Source organism: Homo sapiens, chromosome 17 (assembly GCF_000001405.40).
Source record: "Homo sapiens chromosome 17, GRCh38.p14 Primary Assembly".
NCBI lineage: Eukaryota > Metazoa > Chordata > Mammalia > Primates > Hominidae > Homo > Homo sapiens.
In genome coordinates this window covers 37,087,938-37,106,358 of record NC_000017.11, presented here as the reverse complement: position 1 = coordinate 37,106,358, position 18,421 = coordinate 37,087,938, and the positions used below count along the sequence as shown (strand labels likewise).

The following is an 18,421-nucleotide window of genomic DNA, read 5'->3' as shown; positions in this document are numbered from 1 at the left end:
AAGCTAGATACATTGGGAGAAATTATTCCCATTACAAAAGGATTATTTGCCTTACCAAAGGATTCACTGCAGGGTTCCTCATAAAATAGCTCCCTTAAGGCATTTAAAACAGGATCTGATTTACGCAGTTTTTCAAGAATGCTTTTGTGTAAAGAAAGGCACACCTGTTATGGATATAGAAATAGTTTTGCAGGATTTTTTTTTTTTACCTATCTTACTATGTTTATAGAAAAATTTCTTTCAACATAGAAAATGTGATTACATAGATCTTTTAAACAACTGCTTGTGTTTGTACTTCTGAATCTTAATAAGATTCCAGTCTTTTTTATGCTGATTTTTCAGTCTCAAGGTTGAGGGATGGGAGTATGTTTTAACATCTGAGATATTCAGGAGCTTTCTGGGGAGGGTGGTCTTGTTCTTATCTCTAGCATCATAAGTATTGAACCATTCAAAGCAAATTGCTTTCTTTCTTTCTTTCTTTTTTTTTTTTTTTTGAGACAGAGTTTCGCTCTTGTTGCCCAGGCTGGAGTGCAATGGCACGATCACGGCTCACTGCAACCTCTGCCTCCCGGGTTCAAGCAGTTCTCCTACCTCAGCCTCCTGAGTAGCTAGGATTATAGGCATGCACCACCATGCCCGACTAATTTTGTATTTTTAGCAGAGATGGGGTTTCTTTATGTTGGCCAGGATGGTCTTGAACTCCCGACCTCAGGTGATCCGCCCGCCTCGGCCTCCTAAAGTGTTGGGATTACAGGCATGAGCCACCGTGCCTGGCGCAAATTGCTTTCTTAAGTAAAGGAAGAAGGGCCCATCAAAGTTAAAATTGGATTTAAATTTACATAGGCTTCTTAGTATAACTGTTTTGGTTTTGTTTTTGTTTTTGAGATGGAGCCTCGCACTGTCGCCTGGGCTGGAGTGCAGTGGCGTGATTTTGGCTCACTGCAACCTCTGCCTCCCGAGTTCAAGCGATTCTCCTGCCTCAGCCTCCCAAGTAGCTGAGATTACAGGTGCCTGCCACCAAGTATAACTTTTTTAAAAGTTGAGAATGTTTTTAAAAACACTTTAATATCACATTCTTTTATAAAACATTTTCCCTGTTTGCCAGACTGGGATTGTTGTTACATAAATGAGGAACTCAACTCAGAAAAGGAAAAAGATTTCTACAAGGTCGCCTAGAGCCTTTGGCTGAGCAGAGAATTTTTAGTCTACCAGTCTGATTTTTATTCCAAGCTTTGAAGATGTCACCTCCCCCAAATCCTACTTTTAGGATGTAGTTTGTTCATACACAGACTAGGGCTGACCTTCTCCTGGCCTATTTAAGTGATATGGCTGGGCAAAAAATTGCCTCCTGCTGCAGAAATCAGCCGTTTCCTCTGGGAGTTTCTCTTTAGCTTTTTTTTTTTTTTTTTTTTTTCGGTCAGAGACAGATTCTCACTCTGTCTGCCAGCCTGGAGTGCAGTGTCATGATCACAGCTCACCACACCTCGACCTGTCAGGCTCAAGCAATTCTCCCACCTCAGTCCCAAGTAGCTAGGACTACAAGGCATGCGCCACCACATTCCGCTAATTTTAAAATATTTGTAGAGACAGAATTTCCCTGTGTTGCCTGGGCTGGTCTCAAACTCCTGGCCTCCGCAGTCCTTCCCACCTTGGCCTCTCAAAGTGCTGATATTACAGGCATGACCCACCGTGTCCAGCCTCTCTTCACCTTTGATACCATGGAGGAGAAATGTGGCTTTTCTTTGTATCCTGGCTCCAGGGAACACCTGATAGGCCACTGTGCTGCGGATACTTTCAAGTCAATTTGAACTGCTTTGTTTAAGGAGCATGGGCTCTTAAACCAGATTACCTAGTCCAAAATCACAACTCCACTGTTGCCTAGCTTTGTGGCCTTGGGTGAGTTACTTTTTTGTGCCTCAGTTTCCTCATCTTTTAGGATTGTTGTAAGGATTAAATGAGATAAAAAGTACTTTAACAGTACCAGCACACAGTAACATCTCAATAGTGTTAGCTCTTCTTATTTGACCAGTGATATTTCGTCTCTGTTTAACTCTTTAAATTTTTTAATTAAAAGTGTGCATTTTTAGGATTTCATGGGGACTTATTTTTTAAGAGACAAGGTCACCCTCTTTCACCTAAGCCAAACTTGTCCAACCGTGGCCTGCAGGCCACATGTGGCCCAACACAAATTTGTAAACTTTCTTAAAACATTACGAGATTTTTTTTACAATTTCTTTTCCAGCTCATTGGCTATCGTTAGTGTATTTTATGTGTGGCCCAAGATAATTCTTCTTCTTCCAATGTGGCCCAAGGAAGCCAAAAGATTGGACACTCCTGACCTAGGCTGGAGTGCAGCAGCACAATCATAGTTCACCGCAGCTTGAACTCCTGGGCTCCAGCGATCCTCCTGCCTCAGCCACCAGAGTATCTCTGGGACTACAGGCACGCTTCACCATGCCTGGCTAATTTTGGGGGGCATGCAGGAGGAAAGACAGGGTCTCGCTCTGTTGCCCAGGCTGGTATTGAACCCCTGGGCTCAAGCCATCCTCCCACCTTGGCTTCCCAAAGTTCTGAGATTACAGGTGTGAGCTACCACACTTGGCATTTTGTGTGTGTGTGTGTGTGTGTGTGTGTGTTTGTGTGTTTGTAGAGACAGGGTCTTGCTTTGTTGTCCAGGCTGATCTTGAAATCCTGGCTTCAGGCAGTCCTCCCAACTTGCATAGGGACTTTTTATTTTGGATAGGAAAGGATGGGAGCACCTACCTTTTTACTCCCACTCAGCCATTTCCTAATGTAGAATTCTAGAAAAGAATGACTTTTCTCTCTGTAGCATATTCTTAAACACACTCACACACGTGTACACACCAACTTGCTTTCCTAAAATCCCTGAGGCCCTGCAATCTGGCTAGAAAAGAAAGAAAACCATTTCAAGATATTTAATTGTACAGGGAGCTTACAGCATTGATCGAGAGCTTAGCTTTTTACAATAGTCCAGTGAATAAGAAATGCTCCTGACAAACGATCAATGATAGGATAATCACTCTTTATCCCCCTCCTCATTCTTACCTTCTTTCTTTCAGGAGAACAGGGTTCAGAAGTCAAAAATCTTTATAGACGCCACTTTTAAATTAAGCAGAAAATAGACATTGACATATTTGTTAATCTCCCCTAAATCATTACCGGGGCTGGCTGCTTTGCTGTACAAGGAGAGAGGGGCCCTCGGTGTGCAACACATGATATAACTGGCTTAATAGCAGCCTTTTATTTTTAGAAAATAAAATTTTAAAAATCTTTTTTCCCCTAAAACAAAGCACACAAATCCTTGACCTTCACATGGGCATTTAAAAACACATATATTCTCCACTTCAGTCTTTTCCTTGTTTTGATGCTTTTTTGAGGTGGGTCTTGAACCATAATCAGAGGCATTACTGAAGGAATCAAACAAGGTAGGCTTTGGAGGAATGCCCTGCAATCTTCCTAGTCTCAGGAGGGCCAGAGCATTACAGGCATTTATTTTGTTATTCTTTCAAAGCTCTAGAATAGCTTGATTGAGAGGGCAAGACCTTTGTTAGCCCAGAAGCCAGCATCCTCCGTCCTTCCAACTTGGCGAAGCCAAAGCCTGGTTTCTGAAACACTGTCCTCAGCCCGTAGCTGCTCCCTCTTCTGCAGCCAGTGCTGAGCCTTGCTCTTAACTCCTTGCGAACAACAAACCAACTCTCCAGCTGGTTTCCCTATAGTGGCCACTGCAGGATATCTGCTTGCCAGCCTTCAATACCATTTAATGTGGAAGAACACAGGCTTTGGAGAGAGCCAGACCCAAGTGTAAATCCTGACTTTGCCACTTAAGAGCTGGATGCAGCCAGGTGCGGTGGCTCACACCTGTAATCCCAGCACTTTTGGAGGCCGAGGCAGGCAGATCACCTGAGGTCAGTTTGAGACCAGTCTGGCCAACATGGTAAAACCAAATCTCTATGAAAAATTCAAAAATCAGTCAGGCTTGGTGACGGGCACCTGTAATCCCAGCTACTTGGGAGTCTGAGGCAGAAGAATTGCTTGAACTCAGGGGGCAGAGGTTGCAGTGAGCCGAGATCGTGCCACTGCACTCCAGCCTGGGCGACAGAGCAAGACTCCGTCTCAAAAAAAAAAAAAAAAAAAAAAAGAGCTGGATGCCATTGGGGAAGTCCCTTTACATTTCAGAGCTGTGGTTTTCTTACCTGTAAAATAGACACCCTGGCATAAAGTTGAGTTGTCCTAAGGATTGGAGATCATGTACCTGAAGCAACTGGGAAAGCACGCAGTAACGTTGAAGTATTCAGCTTGGCAGCAGTGTTAACAGCTGACCAGATGTAGGTGTGTAGATCTGTATTGTGCTTGGTGATTATGATATGTGATCCTGAAAGATTTGAGTGCAGTGAGTGGTAAATGCTCAATAAATGGTGTGTTAGATATGGTCCATGTATATGTGCGTTTAGCCATGTCAGTGGTCTTGCCATCCCTTTGCTCCCTGCAGGGCTGTGACTTTACCTATTATTGTATTAGTTCTTGAACTCACAGTAACAAGAGACACAACTCTTAAATCTTAGGCCTGCCTAGGAAATTGCATCTGAATGGGAACTATTGGAGACATTGTCCTGGTCTTAGTTATGGAATTGGGACTAAGATAGAACCTTTATCAGCCAGGAGCCCACCATCATCACTTAGCCTCTCAGAAATTAAAGGGACACTACTACTGAAGCACGTGTCTTCTGCCCAAGTAAGCGAGAAGAGACAGCTAACAGTGTTCAAAAGCTTTGGGACCCAAACTGCTGCATTTGAGTCTTGGCTCTGTCACTTGCTAGCTTTGTGACCTTGGTAAGTCCATAAATTCTCAGTGCCTCAGTCTCCTCACCTGTAAAATGGGAATAATAAGAATACCAGACTCCTAAGGTTGTTGTGATAATAAATTAATAGATATAAAGCACTTAGAATGGTGCCCAGTACCCTATAAATATTAGCTTTGATTATTGATTGTATGCATTGGATAGCCAGGAATAAGTTTTCTTTTCCAGCTTGCCTAATTTTTAAAACTTTCCAATTTCACAAAAAAGTTACAAGAATAATACAATGCTTTTTTCTCAAATTCACCTATTGTTAATATCCCAATGCTTTATTATTTCTGCATATTCACATGTGTACATGTATTTATTCTCTCTTGCTCCACACACATATGCATTTTCTTTGAGCCATTTGAAAGTAATCTGTGGACCTCTTGCCTTTTTTTTTTTTTTTTTTTCTGAGACAGTCACTCAGGCTGGAGTGCAGTGGCGCCATCTTAACTCACTGCAAACTCCAGTTCCCGGGTTCAAGCAATTCTCACGCCTCAGCCTCCTGAGTAGCTGGGATGGCAAGCATGTGCCACCATGCCTGGCTAATTTTTGTATTTTTAGTAGAGACAAGGTCTTGCCATGTTGGCCAGGCTGGTCTCAAACTCCTGGCCTCAAGTAACCCACCTACCTCAGCCTCCCAAAGTGCTGGGATTACAGGTGTGAGCCACCCCGCCTGGCCCTAATGCTTCTTTATTCATAAATATTAGTGTGTATTTCTAAGAACACAGACTTTCTCCTACATAACCACAATACATTTATCAAAATCAAGAACTGTAAACATTGATACTACTGTCTAATCCATGATTCATATTAAAATTTTACCAATTGTCTCAATGTCCTTTTTAGTTTTTTTTTTTTTTTTTGAGGGGCGGTCTGAGATCTGATCTAATGAGCATACATTGAAATTCATTGTCAAGTATTTTTGGTCTCTTTTAATCTGGACTGATTCTTTGACCTTTGTTTTTCATGTTTTTCACATTTTTGAAGAGTGAGCCACTTTTTTTGTAGCATGTTTCCTCAGTTTGGGTTTGTGGTTAGATTTCGATTCTGCTTTTTGGGCAGGAATGTTGCGGAAGTCATGTTCTGTCCTTCTCAGTACATCATCAGGAGTCATGGTATCAGTCTGTCCTCTTGGTGATAATTTAATTACTTGCTTAAGGTGTTGTTCACTAGGTTAATCCACGATAAAGTTACCATTTTCCCCTTTGTAATTAATAAGTGATTTGTAAGGAATATTTTAAGACCTTGTGAATATTCTGTTTCTTATCAAACTTTCACCCACTGGCTTTGACATCCATTGATGATTCTTGGAAGAGTAATTTACAGTGATGCTTGTAAAACGGTGATTTTTCTAATTCCATCATTTCCGCTACACTTATTGTTCTTCTGCTGGAAGAGAGAGTGTTCCCTTTCCCTTCTCCCTCATTTAATTACTTATATGAGGGTGAATTGGTAGATTCTAGTTTCATTCCACAAATATTCTGTCTGTTAATAAATATCATTATTTATTTTAGTGTTCATTGTCCCAGAATTGGGCAGTGGGAACACATTCAAAACTGGCTCCTGCATTTTTCTAACATGTCTCAATCGTTTTTTGAGGGCTTCCTTGTTTTTTTGTCACAATATACCCCAGGTTCATCTGATGTTTTCCCTACCTCATCCCTAGAATCAGCTATTTCTCCAGGGAATCTTGGTTTCTTTCTGTGGAGAAGGGAAAATATTTGCTTCCCTAACAAGGGTGTTCTGAGAATGTCTCATCTCCGAAGACACCAGCCAGCCCTCCATCCCTCAGCCCTCCTCCCATCAGCCCTCTTGCCATCAGCCCTCCCTCCATCAGCCCTCCTCCCATCAGCCCTCCCTCCATCAGCCCTCCTGCCATCAGCCCTCCCGCCATCAGCCCTCCTGCCATCAGCCCTCCCGCCATCAGCCCTCCTGCCATCAGCCCTCCCGCCATCAGCCCTCCTCCCATCAGCCCTCCTGCTATCAGCCCTCCTCCCATCAGCCCTCCTCCCATCAGCCCTCCATCCCTCAGCCCTCCCGCCATCAGCCCTCCAGGCAGATCTACACTAGAATGCAATGGGCCTTTGTGTCATCCCTTAGTGTGGGGCCCGGTGCGTTCATGCTGTTCAGGTGTTTTGGAAGGAACACTACTGAGGCGCCGGGGCCTAAAGCAGCAGATCAGTGGCACCTTCATCACAGTTTTAAAATGGTGATGAGCTTAAAAAAAGAGGTAGAGTTGGGCATCCAAAAAACTAATAAAAATGAAACTTAAGTACTATAGTTACATCCCTCCTCTGTTAACCTGTGTTTATGTATAATACGGCTCAGTCAGCAGCCCAAGGCTGTTTTTATGGCATATGATTCATTGTGGTGTAAAAAACAAGGCCTGTTCCCAGACAGGCATGCTTGAAATAGACCTTCCTCTTCTGCATCCTATCACCTGTGCTCATGTATTTATTTGTCAGCTTTGGTGACAAAGCACTTCAGGGTGTCCCTAACACCAGGGGCTGTCACCTATTGCTCCTTCAGCTAGGCTTACTCCTCCTTACTAGGCAGGCAGCTAAATTTTCAGTATTGATTGCAGATCCCATTCTGAGAGTAATTAGGAAGAAAGGCACACCATAGCAACACCTCTACTGGGACACTATTGATTGGGGGAGGGGTCCCTCCTTGGTATAAGGGGTTCCAAAGTCTCCTGTCTGTTGAGTCAGGGTACCGTGCGCAGTGATCCAAATGAGGTTTGCCAACTGCCTTTCTCTTTTTACATCCTCCTTCTCCTTTAGCCTAAGAAGTAGAATGTCTTTGTCTGGTCAGGGACTGGCTCTGGCAGTAGCAGCCCAGGCGGGAGAGCACAGGCTAACCCACTGAGCTGACACAAGATGTGAGGATCTAGCTCTAATTAGATTGAGTTCTACTAATTAGAGGTTAAGAGTATATAAACCTGAGATTAGAAGCCATGAAGTACTATGGCTTGTAACTTTAGGAGTTATTCAGGTCCTTGCCAAGTTTGGCAGATAACTCGCATGTACACGGAAACAGGAGCTACTAGTTTGTGCTCGGAGTTTAGGGGTGCTCTCACCACATCCCACGTGTGGAATAGCCCAGCTGCTTTGATGCTGGTCAGCAGGGATGGGCATGGTGTCAGTGTACAAGTACTGGCCTCAGGGGAAGGAGGAGCCTGGGTGGTGTCAGCAATATGCAGCAGGCCTCTAGGTCGCTACTTGCACCTTCTCAGGGAGAGGCATGGGAGAGGGGCTGCCATCTGCCTTCACACTTGTGACTGCCACAGGGAAAAGAGGGCATGTGGGCTTCTTGTGGCAAGGTAAAGACTGGTGTGGCATCTTGTAGGGCCCTGTTAATCAGCAAAGAGCAGAGAAGACAACGGAGAGCCAGGCCACAGAGGGAAGAGGGGGCAGGCTGATGTTGAGCTTCCCGTGATTGTGGCTGCTTTTGTGCAGAGAGATTCCTGGTCATTACAGAGTGTGACGGGCATGTTTATCTAATTGCAGGGACCCCAGAGCTAAGCACAGCTGAGCGGAAGGAGTTGGAGAACAAGTTGAAGGAGCGGGAGGAATTCCTAATTCCCATTTACCATCAGGTAGCCGTGCAGTTTGCTGACTTGCACGACACACCAGGCCGGATGCAGGAGAAGGGTGTTATTAGCGTAAGTACAATGGTTGCCACTTCTTGTCAGAGGCCCACATGTGGGCAAGTGTGTGTGTGTGTTGCACACAGGCTCATAAGCAGGGAGCTATGAGGGCCAAATTAAAACAACTTCTGCAGATCAAAACATTTTCAATATTTTTTAGATTTTCACTGTTTCTGTAACTGTTATCATCTTAAAACAATGTATAATTTAGGTTTCCATTAATTCCTCAGGAGGCAAGCTGCATTTTACTGGTGGGAAACTGAGTCACATGTGACTTCATTGGTGACGGGTCCTCAGGATGTGGGTTACTATAGGGTCAAGGCTCCCGCAGCAGCTAATTAATAATTGATCTGCAAGTTGTTTGATCCATCTTCTCAAAACGAATTTATCCTTGTCTGGTTATCTGGGAACTCACAGCCTCTTCCCCAGAACATCTCAGCCATGTGTGGGATCAGCATTAGCCAGGCCCATGGCTGTGCACAGTGCTGCAGACAGCAGGGCATGTGGGCTGCATTTCTGCCCTGGGGGACATCTGGAAGTGCTAGGAGTTTACAGCCAGCTCTTGGGTCTGTGAAGGGCTTGCCTGGAGAATCAGTTTTTATGCCTGTGGGTTTCCCTCCAGACTGAGCATTAAGCAGGAATTAGGACTGGGCTAAGTTTATTCTTCTCTGCATGTAGGATATCCTGGATTGGAAAACATCCCGTACCTTCTTCTACTGGCGGCTGAGGCGTCTTCTGCTGGAGGACCTGGTCAAGAAGAAAATCCACAATGCCAACCCTGAGCTGACTGATGGCCAGATTCAAGCCATGTTAAGGCGCTGGTTTGTGGAAGTGGAAGGAACAGTGAAGGTAGGTGGGACACTCAAAGAGAAGCCTTTTTGCTGAGTTCCTCACACCACCTGAGGGCTGCAAGTCTCGCCAGCAAAGAGTCCACAGGCCTCTAAGGGCAGGAGTAGAAGGGAAACATAGAGATCCAAGCTGTTTCCTCCCCCAGCTACTCCCCCTAACATGTCATGTCACGACATCTTGTTAGAAGAGGTGGTAGGGCATATGTTGCAGCTTATGCAATCATTCAGCAGACCTTTTTGAACACTTACTGGGTACTAGACACTGCATTTGCTTCTGGGGGCATGGCAGTGAAAGAGGCAAATGTTGTTCCTATCCACATAGAGCTCACCATCTAGAGGGGGAGACAAATAAAGAGGTTATGCACAATAGTGAGGCCCATGTTAAACACAGCAAAGGGCACAGAGCACAGCGAGAAGATACCTGACCCTCTCTGGGAAGGATGGAGGAGAGTCTAAGAAGCCTTGTGCAGTAAGTGATGTCTCAGGAGAGGCTGGAAAACAAAGCAGAAATGAACCAGAAGAAAAGGCTGGATTTGGGGGCAGTCAGGGCTTAGGAGGAATGTTCCTGCAGAAGGAACAGCATCATCCTAAGCCATGAGAGTAAGAGTAACATGCATCAAAGGAACATCCTGCAACTGTTTCAGGGCAGCTCAGAGACTGGGTGCCTGGTAGGAAGAAGGGGCAGGGGCATGATCACACAGGGCCATGTAAGCTGTCAAGGAGTTTGGACTTTGTCCTGAGGCCTGTCGGAAACCACTCAGGTATTTTAAGCAGTGGAGTGACATGCTCTGATTTCTATTTTAGAAAGACCACTAAGGGGGCTGTGTGGAGGAGGGAATTGGAGGGGCTAAGAGCAGAAGCCTAACAGGTTGTGATCGGCAGGAGATGCCATGACTACAACTAAAGAGCTGCCTACTTCCAATCAGAGATGGAAGGAAGTATCCACCCTTATGCAGGGAAAGGGACCTATGAAGCTGGCATTTTCTTGGGGTGATCTCACAGAGAGGGCTCGTGACCTAGAGCAGTAACCCCACTGAGATGGTGTCCTTGGTGCTCTAGCCTCAGTGTTGGGGATGGGGCGGGTCTCAAGCCAGGATGACCTAGCAAGGGCACCAGCATTTGCTCCTGGAATAGTGGGCTGCATAAGTCACTCCATGGATGGGAAGAAAAAGCTGGAACTTTTATTTCTGTTTATTTTTACTAACAAAAAGAAATTAACCTTTATTAGTAATTAATATATGGATTAATCATTTACATCAAAAATGCATTTTATCAGAATATTGGTAGTATGTGCTCAAAATATATTTGTCTGTCTTTCTCATTGCTATGTGATCACAAACATTTGGTGACTACCAGGTTAGAGTATTGATGGAGGGCTGGGTGGCTGGTGGTGGCTTGAAGGGTCCTGGCCCACAAAGAGGGGCACTCTGGCCTCTGCCTAGAAAGTGTTGCCTGAAGCCTCTGCTAATCGTTCTCAAGGAGGAGCTCCCAGATTTGCTGTCAGTTTTAAAGCCAGTGAATTGGGGTGCTTCTAGGATTCACCTTTGTATTAAGTCTGCCCATTTTTTTTATGACTGAAAAGCTTCTTTGGATAAATATTTCAAATGTGCAGTTGGGGAGCACAGCCTTCTCCGACATTTGGTTCAGGTTAAGGTCAGTCTGTGGCATCATAATTGAGTGAGACAATTTTGTCAGTGGCTACTGGCAGCTTCTAGTGGAAGTTGGCATTGAAAGTCACGCAAGTGTAAAATAAGAGTTTGTCCTCCAGTTAAGAGTGGCCGGCTAGGTAAATGGAGTGTGTGTGTATGTGTGTGGCCAGGAGAGGCCTGCACTGCCTCCCTACCACATTAGTCACTAATGGACGTGTCCAGCCTCAGTAGGCACAAGGATGAGAAGGAAGTTTCCCCCCAGGCATGAAGCAAGTAGATAGGCCCTTCAGCTTTTCCCTAGCATCCTGCTCCCAAGCGGACAGAGCGTCTGAAGAAATAGGTCACTGCCGTCTCTTATCAATGGAGAGAACAGTTGACCACGTGTGTACAAGCTCCTGGCTGGAATTGAAGCACAGAAGAGAACCCCCACCCCGTAGCTCAGTAGGAGGCTGCCTAGGCACTGGGGGCAGCCATGCTGAGCACTGAGGCCATTTCCCTTGTGCCCATCTACAAAAGGCAGCATTCTCCTGAGTTCTCTGAGAGGAATGCCAAGGACTGAACGTGAGGACGGGTAATCCTATGATGTCAGGGCATGTGGCTTTGAAACCTCCTTCCATATTCGGCAGGCTCAGCAGGACCTAGTTTAGTGTGAGGTGGGTGATAAAATCTGCAGTGCCCTTGAGAGAAGAAAGGGTTGCAGTGTTCAAAAGCCATCTGTGTGCCTCAGAAGGAGTGATGTACAATCTGCTTGCTGTTTGGTGTGGGGGGGGGGGGGTGGTTCTTCAAAGAATGATAGATACTGTGTGTTGTGTTTCTCAAGTGCAAAGACTGGCTGAGTCTAGACCCTGGCTTTGCACCAGGAAGTGACCCTCTAATCCTTATTGTGGTTGGTTACTGGTAAGAAAAGACATTTCGAGATAGGCATCTATTAGCTATGCCTTGTGTTCTTTTTGTTCCCAGAGAATTTGTTTTCTTAATCTTAATCCTGAAAACAGAAATTCTGGGACAGAAAATTGAAGACACGGTGATATTATATAACTGAGCACTATAATTCTTTTGTTTCCCTTAGAGATATCTGTTACCATGAGTTATGGGAGTCTGTTTGAATCCACTGGGACGATCCTACTGTAGGAAATAGTAGGATTTATGGTTCATAGTTTCACTGCAGGCAGAAGCAAAGCATCACTACAGCTCCTTAACGAAAATAACAAGAACAGTAGTTTAAATTGGGTCATAAGAACATGGCACACATTTGTATCCTGGGCATGGTTTCTCACTTGATTCTTAGATCCAAAATTTGAAGCCTGGTTTTTCAAACAGGCTGATTTATTTTTTCCCAGACCCCAATAGTAGAAATTGAAATTAGGACTCTGCATGGAACAATGAGAATGTGGGTTTTGAAATCTCATAAACTTCGGGATCCCAGCTTTGTCATTTACTGGCATGGGCATATTATTTAAGCCTCCATTCCCTCATCTGTAAAATGGGGGTGGTGTTTATGTCATGGGGTTCAGTGAGTTTTAAATAACATGAGTAAAGTATGGAGCATAAGTCAGATGTGGTGGCTCACGCCTGTAATCCCAGTGCTTTGGGAAGCTGAAGTGGGAGGATCGCTTGAGGCCAGGAGTTTGAGACCAGCCTGGATAACAAAGCAAGACCCTGTCTTCACAAAAAATTTTAAAATTTGCTCGGTGTCGTGGCACACACATGTAGTCCTAGCTCCTCAGGGGGCTGAGGCAGGAGCATCGCTTGGGCCAAGGAATTTGAGGTTATAGTGAGCTATGATGGCGCCACTGCACCCCAGCCTGGGCAACAGAGTGAGACCCTGTCTCCAAAAAGAAAAAGTATGGAACACAATGTCTGGCTCAGTAGACATTCAAAATATGCTAGTTTCCCCTGCTCCATGTTAGAAGGTAAAAAAATAATAGCAACATAGACCAAGTCAAAAATGTACAGCTGATTGACCTCGGCGGAAAGGGGGCTGACTCCTGAGCACAGTGGGTGCTCAGACGCTCTTTGGTTTGGCATGCTCTCATGTTCCCACAACCCGATGCCATGGTGCATTCTTATTGTTCACACAGCTACCCACTCGCTCTTATTCTGGATTTCCAAGTGAAATGAATGCTCAACAGAGGCCCCTGTGAGGACCATAGGAAAAAGCACTATTGACAGGGTCACTTATTTCCACTGACCTCAAAACCTGGCCTCAGGCTACTGATGAATAAGTCTCATACACCAAACTTCTCACACAGGGCCAGGCAGGGAGGAGGTAAGGTAGAACCTGGAAAGTGTTGCTTGGCCCTGCTATGGGCCTGGAGCTGAGATGGGATTGGCTCACAGGAGCTTGGTTCACAGGGGTCTGATGGCCACCCTAGCCCACATGTCCTTTGGCTATTGTACTCTAAAGCCCTTGGAAAAAAAAATCACATCCTTTCTTGGGCTTCTGTTGGATAGGGCTTAGCCTTGTAAGTGTAGGTGTATTGAAAATGTCTTTCCAAAATATGAGTGTACCTTAGGATTTGTATGCCATCCCTACACCCATCAGGCTGTGTGTTTCCCAGAAGTCTAGAAGGTCAGAAATGGGAGGAGCCTCCCTAGCTGGAGGTGTCTCCCAGCAGCTCCCAAGGTGAGTTATTAGTAGGGTATAGTAATCAGGGCTCACATCCATCAGGTTGTGCCCTGGTCACTCCTTGGCCCTGCTGAACCATTGTCTAAGGAGGACTTAACAGCTATCCAGTATGTTAGAAATGAAACTTTCCAAACAGGTCATTTAGATGTTGTGAGATAGACTAATTACTACATAAAATTAGTGAGGCTGACTAGTGCCTGAGATACTTATCCACTGATGCAGACAGAAAGTGTCTGTTGAACATTCATTTTAGGACAGGCCACTGTTGTGATGTAGAATTATTGATATTTTATTGATAAAATGTTCTGATACAGATGGATATGCTGACAGGTGGCATACGGGCCCAGGCCTGTCATGATGTTAGCAGCCTAGCATATCACACCTGTTTAAAGTCCACGCTGGAATACTAGGAATGACTGGCCACATTTTCTTTTTTTTTTTTTTTGTCTCACTCTATTGCCCAGGCTGCTGGAGTAGGTATGATGACTCACTTTCAGCCTCAACCTCCTGGGCTCATGTGATCCTCCCCTCCCACCTCAGCCTCCCAAGTAGCTGGGACTATAGGCATACACTACCCCACCTGGCTGATTTTTTTGTAGAGGTGGGGTTTTGCCATGTTGCCCAGGCTGGTCTGAAACTCCTGGACTCCAGCAATTCCCTGCCTCAGCCTCCCAAATTGCTGGGATAACAGGCGTGAGCCACTGTGCCAGGCCCATTTTCATAATTTTAAGGAGGGAAATAATAATGGCTTCTTCCTGGGAATAAGGTTGGCCTATCCTTCTGGATGACTGGAATTGAGTCTTACAACTGTTCTAAGGGAGCAAACAAGAAACTGTAGGCTCTGGCTGGGCACAGTGGCACACGCCTATAATCCCAGCACTTTGGGAGGCCAAGGCAGGGGAACTGCTTGAGCCCAGGAGTTCAAGACCAGCCTGGGCAACATAACGAGACCCTGTTTCTACCAAAAAAAGTTTTGCCAGGCATGGTGGGGCATGCCTGTAATCCTAGCTATTCAGGATGCCGATGCAGGAGAATCACGTGAGCCCAGGAGTTTCGGGCTGCAATGAGCTGTGATCATGCCACTGTACTCCAGCCTGGGCAACAGGAGGAGACCCTGTCTGGGGGAAGAAAAAAAAACCTGTAAACTCCATAACCCAGTGGAAGGGAGCTTGCTTTTCCCAGGTGGAGCAAATTATCCCACAACAGTATGGTAACTCTCCCAGGTCTGTTGAGAAAAACCAGTGGCACTATGCTTACATAAGTTTGTTTATTTTTGCTAAACATGCAGTTGATTAGAACTTGAGACCCCTTTCCTTCATGTACTCTAGGCTGTAATCCACTGGGGTTTGGCGGTCATTGTCATCCAGTTGTACTTTGCGTAAACAGCAGATCTTTTTATAGGACCCATATTTTCAAGCAACTGTAAAACTTGGAATGCGTTGCCCTAATCCTGTCTGGGAACTTTTCAAAATGTTTAAACACCTAGCATACTCTGTGGCTGCAGGAGGGGAAGGCAGAAGAGTTTTCTCTAGAGGGTAGCTGGCTTTCCAGTGTAGTGTCTGAGCATTGTTGGAAGCAGGCATCTCGTTAGCTAATACATTACACCAATCAAGGAGAGTTATCTTAAGCCACAATTAATCTGCTCCCTGGCATATGTTGATAGGAAAGCATCATGCTGTTTCTTAATTAAAAGCAAACGGATTAAAAATGATTAATAAGAGTATTAAATATTCTCCTAAACTAAAGGCTTTGGGATTCTTGGGTAAATCTAAAAATCTTGGGGTTTTTTTTTTTTCCATTCTGAAATCCAAGAAGCATTTATTGTTTTATTTTTCCTCCCCTCCACCCCAATCTTCATAAGTAGGGGTATGTGTAGAAGTCCTGAAACCACGGAGCAGAAGAGTAAATTGCCAATGATGGAAATGGAAATGTTGAAATTTAGGTGGCGACGTTTAGGAGTCCAGGGGGACCCATCCATATGTGGGGCGTGCAGCAAGCTGGGTCACAAGAGTGAGTTAAAACCATGTTATGGGAAAAGCAGTGCTACCTTCTCCCTCGTGGATAGGGGCTGATGTGACACTTCCTTTCCTTAGGCGCAAAACACTTTCTCAAGGCAGTTTGGCCTTGAGAGATGCTGGGAGTCCTAACCCAGGCACAGAGAGGAGAGGGTCACTCAGGTTTGCACTGACGGGGCCACACACCCCAGCTGAAGAATTGCTGATCTGCTTATCAGTGATTAGATACAGAACTGGGCACATTTGAGTCAGAAAAAGAAATGGACAAAGAACTAAAAGAGACATACTGCTGATCCTTAGTCCCCGGAAGCCTTCATCTTTCCAATGTAAAGGAGTTAATTTTTAGAAACAGAGACGTCGATGAAATGACATACATTAAATAACCAGTCACAACTAAGTCGGCAGCTAAGTTAGAGACAGGAAGTGACAGTCTGAAAAGAAACCATTATATTTGAAGGCACGAGATAGTTAGAAAATAGCCTAGTGCTCAGTTTTGTACTGCTTGAGGCCTCTTGTGATGAAGACATTTCCTCTGCAGCCCAGTAGTCACAGCTGTGGCTTTGGTGACCTTGCTTGCATACAGGCTTCCTGTAGCCACGTCTCAAACCTCAAAGCCTCAGAGTCCCTAACAAACACACCCACCTATTAAATTATAGCACCAAACTCATTGTCATTCTGACTTTGACTTCGTTAGTGATAACAGAGAAGGATAGCGCACCTTTAAATGACAAGCTTTGTGTTTAATTACCCAAACAAAATGACATAAATATGAATGAGCCCTAATTGTGGTACTTGGTTTTCCGGAAACCATTAACAAAACGATTCCTAAATGATTTGTAAAGAAAATGAGAGGAGAAGAGAGCAAGGAGAAGGCTATTAGGCTTCTAACACACTCCTGAATTATTATGTAGTCAACCACCTAGGAAATACTCAGCTAAATGATCTTGAAAAGGAGGTGAGAGGTGGTTTGTTGAGACTTTCAGGGTTATGGACGTCTTGATCCTTTCGAATACTCTCATAGGTAATAAAATGGGGCTTAGGTTTCTGACCTGGTGGCTGTACCCTGGCAACAAGACTTCCCTCCCATCAGTTCCCCGTCCGTGCCTCATCAAAAGACAGTGGGCTCTATTTCAGGAGACTTCATCCATCCAGTGACTGCCAGGCCTCACTGAGGCTAGAGACTTATACTTTAGGCATTGTGTCTCAGCTCCTCTGAGAGCAAAACACCAAATAAACAGCCTTGCCTTCTCAATCACAATTTTACTAAGTAATTTGGGCTTTTAACTGGTTCTCTCAAACCTGTCAGGTTATTGAATTCTCTTAGCCTTTGTCAAATAGGTGGGTCCCTAGAGTCTGACAGGACAGAGTCAGGGTATGAGCACCAGAGTGCTCGGGAGAGCCCCATGGAGACTTCAGGTGTACACCTGTGTCCATAAAGGAAGAGAAGGAGAAGGGGCACAGCTCCTGCCTCGAGGCCTACTTCCTCCTCCTGCACGATGCTGACAGTGAAGGAGAATCGTGGACACGGAGCACACTTTTGGAGTAAGCAAGCACTCCAGATCCTGAATAGTCAGGGTGTCCCGGCCTGGCCTGACCCCTGGTGTTTGACCAAGAGTCATCTGTTTGCAGGCTTATGTTTGGGACAATAATAAGGATCTGGCGGAGTGGCTAGAGAAACAGCTGACAGAGGAGGATGGTGTTCACTCGGTAATAGAGGAAAACATCAAATGCATCAGCAGAGACTACGTCCTCAAGCAAATCCGCAGGTGAGACCAACGTGGGGAACTCCACTAGAGAAGGAGGGCTAATTTCTTTGGAATAAAAAGTTTCCAAACAAATCATGAGATGATCGCAGAAATCTTATGATCTCTGCAGTCTCTTGCTGTTTGAGACAGCTGTAGTTGACCCACAGGTACAGATATGGCCTGAAGCCCAATTCTTTTTCAGCTACTGCTCCCCAGGGGCACTTAGTAATCTCAGCTAGATGAAGGCTTAATTCACTGTGCCCACCTCTTAGCTCTGAATGCTGATACTCAAACCGGATGAACAACTCTGGGAGGAAAGCTGATTGTGTGTGTGGTGGTTTCCTGGGAAACCACCTCCTCACCTCCTGAAGCCAAGAGTTAGCTGTATTCTTCTAGAGGCTTCAGTCTGCTCCATAGGATCGGTGGTAGAGACTGCAGGGGCATTTTTGTAAAAGTTTATTTGGAAACATTTCACTTACAGAAAAGTTATAAAATTAAAAACAGTACAAAGAACACCCCTATATATAATATCTGTACTCAGATTTACCTGTTACATTTTCTCCCCGTTGCTATATCACTTATGAGTGTGCCTGCCCTCCCATATGTGTATACATTTTTCCTCTTTCTGAACTACTTAAGGGTGTTACATATATCATGGCCTTTACCCCCAAATATTTCAGTGTGCATTTGCTGAGAATAGGGATACTTTTACATAACCATCATAAAATGATCCACTTTTGTAAATTTAACATTGATTAAAAACTTTTATCTGATATCTACCATCTGTAGAACATTGCTCATTTTGAGTTTGTCTGATGTCTCCCCATGATGAGATGCAGGTGAGGCACTCTGGCCAGAACCTTCACAGGGCACCACATCTGGGGGCACATGCTGTTTATCTGCTCCTCCTCGTGTTAATTTCATCCGCTGGTCAAGATGTTGCTCCATTTCTCTACCGTATAATTACTGATTTTCCCCCCTTGCACCTAATAAGTAGTCTGCAGGAAGACATTTTAAGGCC

At 44.9% G+C, this 18,421-nt stretch overlaps 1 protein-coding gene across 25 annotated transcripts in view, besides 3 other annotated features; it reads left to right on the top strand.

The window, feature by feature from the left end:
• The window catches only part of ACACA (acetyl-CoA carboxylase alpha), a 321,845-nt gene that overhangs the window by 300,478 nt on the left and 2,946 nt on the right, over window positions 1–18,421 (top strand). For all 25 annotated transcript variants that reach the window (XM_011524701.2, XM_006721853.2, NM_198834.3 and 22 more), the window contains 3 exons: window positions 8,375–8,529; window positions 9,193–9,363; window positions 17,285–17,421. In XM_011524701.2, the coding sequence (XP_011523003.1) occupies window positions 8,375–8,529; window positions 9,193–9,363; window positions 17,285–17,421 (463 nt within the window). The remainder of the gene's footprint in view (window positions 1–8,374; window positions 8,530–9,192; window positions 9,364–17,284; window positions 17,422–18,421) is intronic.
• Window positions 1,703–2,307: an enhancer, noted in NCBI's record as "H3K27ac hESC enhancer chr17:35460987-35461591 (GRCh37/hg19 assembly coordinates)". NCBI's record gives its function as "activates a minimal SCP1, AML or CMV promoter by ChIP-STARR-seq in primed H9 embryonic stem cells {active_cell/tissue: H9 hESC(primed)}" and the evidence as "EXISTENCE:reporter gene assay evidence [ECO:0000049][PMID:30033119]".
• Window positions 8,596–9,795: an enhancer, noted in NCBI's record as "BRD4-independent group 4 enhancer chr17:35453499-35454698 (GRCh37/hg19 assembly coordinates)". NCBI's record gives its function as "activates an origin of replication core promoter dependent on BRD2, P300/CBP, MED14 and CDK7 cofactors, and independent of BRD4, by STARR-seq in HCT116 cells {active_cell/tissue: HCT116}" and the evidence as "EXISTENCE:reporter gene assay evidence [ECO:0000049][PMID:35650434]".
• Window positions 16,131–16,632: an enhancer, noted in NCBI's record as "NANOG hESC enhancer chr17:35446662-35447163 (GRCh37/hg19 assembly coordinates)". NCBI's record gives its function as "activates a minimal SCP1, AML or CMV promoter by ChIP-STARR-seq in naive H9 embryonic stem cells {active_cell/tissue: H9 hESC(naive)}" and the evidence as "EXISTENCE:reporter gene assay evidence [ECO:0000049][PMID:30033119]".